Genomic DNA, 8,826 nt, shown 5'->3' with positions numbered 1-8,826 from the left:
AGTATCCTTAGGAATGGCTGAAGGAACTGAGGAACTCTAGTATGAGAAATAGAAGATTAAGGGGAAACATGACAGCTATCTCTTTTTTCAATTGAAGGATTTTATAAAAGAGGGAATGAATGGGCAATGTGTTATACAAGGAAAAAAACATGAAATTGCAAGTCTCAAAAAGACAATTTTGACTCCCAAAAGCTTTTATTTGCTCATATGTTCATTCATGTATCCAGCAAATATTGATTGAATTGAGTGCATATTTGGTGTTAGACATGGTGCTCTGTAGGCAGGGATATGCTGGTGAATATTTAACAACCAGCTCTCCAGGAAAGGAAAAAATTCCTGATTTATATAATTTGCCAATTTCTGTGGTGTAAATACTCCCTCCATGGCTGATTACAAGCTACTAAAGTAAATGTGGAAACTGGGGAGAGCTGCTCAATTGGTTTTTCCAAGCTGGAGAAAGCTGGCTTCAGCACGATCCTGCCTATGTAGGCTCTGGGGATGCAGAGCTCAAAGGCACAGACTTTGCATCTAAGAGACCTACAAGCTAGTGGTAGAAACCACTTCATCCAGCTGTGACCTAGGAGTGCGTTTGGTTCTGAGAGAAGACCCATACCTGAGTGGGAGGGTGTGACTTATTGGGGTTGGCTACAGGGAAAAGCAGAGGGAAGGGAATTCCAGACAGAATAGCTACAAACCTGTGCAGCTAGGAGGAGAGATGATAAACACGGCCATGCAAGTTGTCCAGTTTGACTGGAGCAGAGAGGACAAGGCTGATTCAGGAAGACTGACATGAGAGCTATGTGGTAGCCAGAACACAATCATGAATTTGGGCCTAATTTCAAAGGCAGTAGGAAATGGATACAAGATTTTTAACAGGGAAGTGGTGTGATATTTACTCTGAGGGAAGCATAGAAAAATGTATTATGTCAGGTCAAAGATGGAGATATCGATTAGAAACATGCCCAGATAGCTGACAAAAAATAGTAATGGTATGAAGTATTGACTTAAAAGCATGAGATCTAAAATTTGGAAAAGAGAACTTTATTTCTTCTGAGGGGTTGCAACCTGCAGGCTGGGAAGTGAAGCCTCCTGCTGAGACCAAAAGCAGGCACTTAGAGGGGAGGAAAGGTAGAACAGGAATTTTATGCCAAACAGGAAATATACATATTCAACAGGTTTTAGGAGGAGCTATGAATATTCATAAAGGGAGGTCATGCAGGCATGGCAAGGAAACATACATGTTACAGACATCCCAAGTTCAGTTTGGGGTAGAGACGTAGCATTAAAATACAGTAAAATTAGTCTCTATACATCAAAAGGTGAAATTTAGGACACAGGTGCTTTGTTGGGCACAAGCTTCATAAACCAGCTGGACCTAATTTGTGGTTGATGGTCATTTACCAGGAAAGAATGCTTTGTGAAACTGATTAGTGTCACCAGGAAACTGCAAAAAGGGAGGGGAATTGGCCATAATATCAAGTGGTTGGCTGAAGTCATCAGAGGACTGAGTTTTCCACTCTTTGTTTTCCAAGGCTGGTTTCTATTTAACTCTTAGGAAAAAAATCTGGCAAGTTAGCAAGGAAGGAGGGTGTACTGAGAGGCATGACCAACCTCCTGTCCTGTGATGGCCCAGAAATTTAGTTTTAAAAGTTTTTTTGGAGTCTTCTTGGCCAAGAGGGGTTCATTCAGTCAGTCAGGGAACTTAAGATTTTATTTTTGTTTCACAGAAGGTAGTGACATTGGAAAATAGGGAGGGTACACATCTAAGTAATGTCAGAAACATTAGATGGGACAAGGAGAGAGAAAAATAGGGCATGGTGAATAACCGGATCTGCAAAGTAAGAGGGAATGATGAGTTAGGATGTGCAGATTGGTGACAGTGACATTCATCTTGTTAGGAAAGAGTTCCTACAATAACTAACTTGGTGAGCTTTTTGAAAATGTCATTTCCTGGGCTTCACCCTAGAGGCTGAGGTGGAGTGGGGCCTCTGAATCTGTATTTTAAAATCACCCCAGTGGAGTCCACTGCATAATTCTGAGCCCATACTTTCATTCCTTATGTCCCAGGCATTGTTCTAGGTGCAGGAGATGCTGTGGTGAATGAAAGTCCCTGTCTTTTACAGCCTTTAAGTAGGAGAGACAGAAAATAAAGCAAATATATACAATAATGTTTAGGTTCCAATACATTCTATGAAGAAAACACAGGATAAGGGGATGGAGATTGTTGGAAGGTGAGAATAGGGTTGCTATTTTAGATAAGGTAGTAGAGAACCCTCTGAAAAGGTGACAAGGTGAGACATAACAATAAGTAAAAAAGTTTGAGAAACACTGAGTTACAAAATATAGAAATAGTAACAATGGAATTGATCAATGGCAGGGATAAAGGAGTGGTAAGTTCTGTTTTGGGCATGAGTTAAAGCTCTCTGTTAGAGATCTGAGTAGAGATAACCAATAGATCGTTGCATAGAACTGTTCAAGGCTCATAGAACAGATCTGGGCTTGGGATCTAGTTTGGGAGATATCAGGCTATGGGTGGTAGTTGAAGCTGTGAGAGTGTATGGAGTAAGAATAGGAGCTAAGAAAGAAACCCAGGGAGGGAATGCTCTTCTGAGGCAGGTAAAGGAAAGGACCCTGGGAAGGAAAATGAGAGGCAACAGAGAGGTGGGAAGAAAACCAGTAGGCAGTGCTGCCAGTGAAAAAGAAAGGTTTGAGGAGGGAGACGCAAACAGGTTCAAGAGTTGCCCAGAGGTCAGATGAGATAGTGTTTGGCAAGTGAAGATAATTTTCCATCTTGATGAGCAGCCTCAGAGTGGAGGTGGTGGGACTTGGAATATAACAAACAGAGGATTCAACGGGAGGTGAAAAGTGGAGACAGTTGTGGTAAAACTGCCCATTGAAAAAGCAGAAGAGAAGTCATGGAGTGGTGAAAGAAGGGCAAAGGAATGAGGGAGAATTTTTTAAGTTAGACTTGGACATGTATATTTGTCAAGGGAAAAAGCAGGGCTGGGCCCAGTGGCTCATACCTGTAATCCCAGCACTTTTGGAGGCCGAGGTGGGTGGATTACCAGACTCCAGGAGTTCAAGGCCAGCCTGGGCAATGTGGCAAAACCCTGTCTCCTCAAAAAATACAAAAAATAGCCAGGTGTGGTGGCATGCACTTGTAGTCCCAGCTACTCAGGAAGCTTAGGTGAGAGGATCACTTAAGTCCAGGAAGTAGAGGATATAGTGAACCGAGATCATGCCCACTGCACTCTAGCCTGGGTGACAGAATGAGAATGTTTCTCAAAAAAAAAAAAAAAAGTCAATGAAGGAAAGATGATAGAGAGAGGGGGGAGATAATTAAGACACTGACAAAGCACAGGGACTGTGATCTCTTCCCTGAGATCAGAAGACAGGGTGGATACTCATGCAGATGCGGTGCTAGGTAGGTTTGGGAGGTAGTGGATTTCCAACCCAAGAACCTTTATTTTACTTGATGTGAAGGTTAAAGCCATTTGCAGGTAATGAGGCAGGTAGGTGGTCTAGGCAGGCGGGGGAGAGTGGCAAAAGTGTGGAGGGCATGGACTTAAAAATAGGTTAGTGAGGTGGCAGGACCACAGTGTGATGGTTGGGTCGTGGCTGAGCCAAGTTGAAGGCCCTCACTTCGAGGGCCGCCAATCTGCCCAAGAATACGTGTTTATCCGACAAAATTCAGTATCTCAAGGAGTTTAAAAAGGTGGAGAATTAGATAGATCTGGTGTTGGGGTTTTGCTGTATGAGAAAGGACAAGAAAGGAGAGATAATTGACACTTTTTAAAAATTATACTTTAAGTTCTGGGAAATGTGCAGAACGTGCAGGTTTGTTACATAGGTATACAGGTGCCATGGTGGTTTGTCGCACCCATCAACCTGTCATCTTCATTAGGTACTTCTCAAAATGCTATCCCTCCCCTTACCCCCCACCTCCCAACAGGCACTGGTGTGTGATGTTCCCCTCCCTGTGCCCATGTGTTCTCATTCAAATGCCAATTATGAGTGAGAACATGTGGTGTTTGGTTTTCTGTTCCTGTGTTTGCTGAAAATGATGGTTTCCAGCTTCATCCATGTCCCTGCAAAGGACACAAACTCATCCTTTTTTATGGCTGCATAGTATTCCATGGTGTATATGTGCCACATTTTCTTTATCCAGTCTAACATTGATGGGAATTTGAGTTGGTTCCAAGTCATTGCCATTGGGAATAATGCTGCAAAAAACATAAGTGTGCATGTGTCTTTATAGTAGAATGATTTATAATCCTTTGGGTATATACCCAGTAATGGGATTGCAGGGTCAAATGGTATTTCGGTTTTAGATCCTTGAGGAATCGCCACACTGTCTTCCACAATGGTTGAACTAATTTACACTCCCACCATCAGTATAAAAGCATTCCTATCTCCAGCATCTGTTGTTTCCTGACTTTTTAATGATCACCATTCTAACTCTAACTGGTGTGAGATGATATCTCATTGTGGTTTTGATTTGCATTTCTCTAATGACCAGTGATGATCTTTTTTTTCATGTGTTTGTTGGCCGCATAAATGTCTTCTATTGAAAAGTGTCTGTTCATATCCTTTGCCCACTTTTTGGTGGGGTTGTTTGTTTTTTTCTTGTAAATTTGTTTAAGTTCCTTGTAGATTCTGGATATTAGCCCTTTGTTAGATGGATAGATTGCAAAAATTTTCTCCCATTCTGTAGGTTGCTTGTTCACTCTGATGATAGTTTCTTTTGCTGTGCAGAAGCTCTTAATTTAATTAGACCCCATTTGTCAATTTTGGCTTTTGTTGCCATTGCTTATGGCGTTTTAGTCATGAAGTCTTTTCCCATGCCTATGTCCTGAATGATATTGCCTAGGTTTTCTTGTAGGGTTTTTATGGTTTTAGGTCTTGCATTTAAATCTTTAATCCATCTTGAGTTAATTTTTGTATAAGGTGTAAGGAAGGGGTGCAATTTCATTTTCTGCATATGGCTAGCCAGTTTCCCGAACACCAATTATTAAATAGGGAATCCTCTCCCCATTGCTTGTTTTTGTCAGGTTTGTCAAAGATCAGATGGTTGTAGATGTGTGATGTTATTTCTGAGGTCTCTATTCTGTTCCATTGGTCTATGTATCTGTTTTGGTACCAGTATCATGCTATTTTGGTTACTGTAGCCTTGTAGTATAGTTTGAAGTCTGGTAGCATGAGGCCTCCAGCTTTGTTCTTTTGGCTTAGGATTGTCTTGGCTATAAGGGCTCTCTTTTGGTTCCATATGAAATTTAAAGTAGTTTTTTCTAATTCTGTGAAGAAAATCATTGGTAGCTTGATGGGGATAGCATTGAATCTATAAATTACTTTGGACAGTATGGCCATTTTTACGATATTGATTCTTCTTATTCATAAGCATGGAATGTTTTTCCATTTGTGCCCTCTCTTATTTCCTTGAGCAGTGGTTTGTAGTTCTGCTTGAAGAGATCCTTCACATCCCTTGTAAGTTGTATTCGTAGGTATTTGATTCTCTCTGTAACAATTGTGAATGGGAGTTCACTCATAATTTGGCTCTCTATTATCAGTGTATAGGAATCCTTGTGATTTTTGCACATTGATTTTCTATCCTGAGACTTTGCTGAAGTTGCTTATCAGCTTAAGGAGTTTTTGTGCTGAGAAAATGGGTTTTCTAAATATATAATCATGTCATCTGCAAACAGAGCTAACTTGACTTCCTCTCTTTCTATTTGAATACACTGTATTTCTTTCTCTTGCCTGATTGCCCTGGCCAGAACTTCTAATACTAAGTTAAATAGGAGTGGTGAGAGAGGGCATCCTTGTCTTGCACTGGTTTTCAAAGGGAATGCTTCTAGCTTTTGCCCATTCAGTATGATATTGGCTGTGGGTTTGTCATAAATAGCTCTTATTATTTTGAGATATGTTCCATCAATACCTAGTTTATTAAGAGTTTTTAACATGAAAATATGTTCAATTTTATCAAAGGCCTTTTGTGCATCTATTGAGATAATCATGTGGTTTTTGACATTGGTTCTGTTTACGTGATGGATTACGTTTATTGATTTCTGTATGTTGAACCAGCCTTGCATCCCAGGTATGAAGCCAACTTGATTGTGGTGGATAAGTTTTTGATGTGCTGCTGGATTTGGTTTGCCAGTATTTTACTGAGGATTTTCCCATTGACGTTCATCAGGGGTATTGGCCTGAAATTTTCTTTTTTTGTTGTGTTTTTGCTAGATGTTGATATCAGGATGATACTGGCCTCATAAAATGAATTAGGGAGGAGTCTTTTTATATTTTTTGGAATAGTTTCAGAAGGAATAGTACCAGCTCCTCTTTGTACCTCTGGTAGAATTTGGCTGTTAATCTGTCTGGTTCTAGGCTTTTATTTGTTGGTATGCTATTAATTACTACTTCAATTTCAGAACTTGTTACTGATCCATTCAGGGATTCAACTTCTTCCTGGTTTAGTCTTGGGAGGGTGTATGTGTCCAGGAATTCATCCATTTCTTCTAGATTTTCTAGTTTATTTGCATAGAGGTGTTTATAGTATTCTCTGATGGTAGTTTGTATTTCTGTGGGATCAGTGGTGATCTCCACTGTATCATTTTTTACTGTGTCTATTTGATTCTTCTCTCTTTGCTTCTTTTTTAGTCTGGCTAGTGGTCTATCTATTTTGTTGATATTTGCAGAAAACCAGCTCCTGGATTCATTTTTTTTTTTTGAAGAGTTTTTCATGTGTCTATCTCCTTCAGTTCCGCTCTGATCTTAATTATTTGTTGTCTTTTGCTAGCTTTTGAATTTGTTTGCTCTTGCTTTTCTAGTTCTTTCAATTGTGATATTAGGGTGTTGATTTTAGATCTTTCCCACTTTCTCCTGTGAGCTTTTAGTGCTATAAGTTTCCCTCTGCACACTGCTTTAGCTGTGTCCCAGAGATTCTGGTATGTTGTGTCTTTGTTCTCATTGGTTTCAAAGAACTTATTTCTGCCTCAATTGTGTTATTTACCCAGTACTCGTTCAGGAGCAGGTTGTTCAGTTTCCATAAAGTTGTACAGTTGTATGTGTGTATAGTTGTGCAGAGTTGGCAGGCAGGAGCATTTAAATCTGCTGAAGCGGTGCCCACAGCCACCCCTTCCCCCATGTGCTCTGTCCCAGGGAGATGAGAGTTTTATCTATAAGCCCCTGACTGTGGCTGCTGCCTTTCTTTCAGGGATCCCCTGTCCAGAGAGGAGGAATCTATAGAGGCAATCTGGCTACCATGGCTTTGAGGCACTGTGGTGGGCTCTGCCCAGTCTGAACTTCCAGAGGCTTTGTTTATGCTGTGAGGGGAAAACTACCTACTCAAGCCTCAGTAATGGTGGGCACCCCACCCCTGATCAAGCTCGAGTGTTCCAGGTTGACTTCAGAATGCTGTGCTGGCAGCGAGAATTTCAAGCCAGTAGATCTTAGCTTGTTGGGTTCCATGGGGGTGGGATCCACTGAGCAAGACCACTCGGCTCCCTGGCTTCAGCCCCCTTTCCAGGGGAGTGAACAGTTTTGTCTCATTGGCCCTCCAGGTGCCACTTGGGTATGAAAAAAACTCCTGCAGCTAGCTCGCTGTCTGCCCAAACGGTGCCCAGTTTTGTGCTTGAAACCCAGGGCCCTGGTGGTGTAGGCTCCCAAAAGAATCTCCTGGTCTGTGGGTTGTGAAGACCATGGGAAAAGCGTAGTATCTGGGTCTGGATAGCACCATCTTTCATGGCAGGGTCCCTTACCACTTCCCTTGGCTACTGGAGGGAGTTCTCCAACCCCTTGTACTTCCTGAGTGAGGCAACGCCCCACCCTGCTTCTGCTCACCCTCCATGGGCTGCACCCACTGTCTAATCAGTCCCAATGAGATAAGCTGGGTACCTCAGTTGGAAATGCAGAACTCACCTGCCTTCTGCGTTGGTCTCACTGGGAGCTGCAGATCAGAGCTGTTCCTATTTGGCCATCTTGCCTGGGAATTCCCAATTGACGCTTTATGTTTTATTTTTTAATTTTTGAGATGGAGTCTTGCTCTCTCACCCAGGCTGGAGTCCAGTGGCTCAGTCTCAGCTCACTGCAAGCTCTGCCTCCCAGGTTCATGCCATTCTCCTGCCTCAGCCTCCCGAGTAGCTGTGACTACAGGCACGTGCCACCATGCCCGGCTAATTTTTTGTATTTTTAGTAGAGGTGGGGTTTCACCATATTAGCCAGGATGGTCTCGATTTCCTGACCTCTTGATCCACCCACCTTGGCCTCCCAAAGTCCTGGGATTACAGATGTGAACCACCGCGCCTGGCTCCCAATTGACACTTTTAAAGTAAGCTACCTGTGCTTCTGGAAGGGCAGCCTGTTATCATGGGATGGCCATTTGGTCCAACCCACCCTGTAGGTGTGTCTGGTCTGATCTGAGGACTGTTGGCATCAGAATCACCCTGGAGTTTGTAACATGAGCAGTGAATCTCTGAGGGGCAGAGCCTAGGAGTTTTCAATTTACAAGCTTCCTATACCATTCTAATGTATATAACAATTTAAATATTGCTGCTTTCTGAGTCCTAAAATCCCTCCCCAGCATCCTGATACATCACTAGCCCCATTGCAATGCCCGCAAATGAACAGCAGCAGGCAGTAGATGATGCTTCTGGCCAGCAGCTCCAGAGGAAAGCCTCCTCTCCTCTCTCTCTCCTTGCAGTGTAGTTATGTCAGTCCCTCAGCTTGACCAAATGCCCCAGCAATGCCCTTGCTAGCTGCCAGGAGTGCTCTGTATCAATATCTATCAACACCAAGAGGGGATCCCCCCTTTCCCCTCCCCTGGCATCCTGC

General features: G+C 42.5%; 1 annotated feature.

Annotated features, from left to right (window-relative positions):
- Positions 7,929 to 8,137: a silencer, noted in NCBI's record as "fragment chr1:181889418-181889626 (GRCh37/hg19 assembly coordinates)". NCBI's record gives its function as "represses an EF-1alpha promoter that drives an FKBP-Casp9 reporter gene in an ReSE screen in K562 erythroleukemia cells {active_cell/tissue: K562}" and the evidence as "EXISTENCE:reporter gene assay evidence [ECO:0000049][PMID:32094911]".

The sequence above is a fragment of the Homo sapiens genome, chromosome 1 (assembly GCF_000001405.40).
Source record: "Homo sapiens chromosome 1, GRCh38.p14 Primary Assembly".
Taxonomy (NCBI): Eukaryota; Metazoa; Chordata; class Mammalia; order Primates; family Hominidae; genus Homo; species Homo sapiens.
The sequence above is the reverse complement of the archived record's forward strand: the minus strand, read 5'-3'. Positions and strand labels throughout refer to the sequence as shown.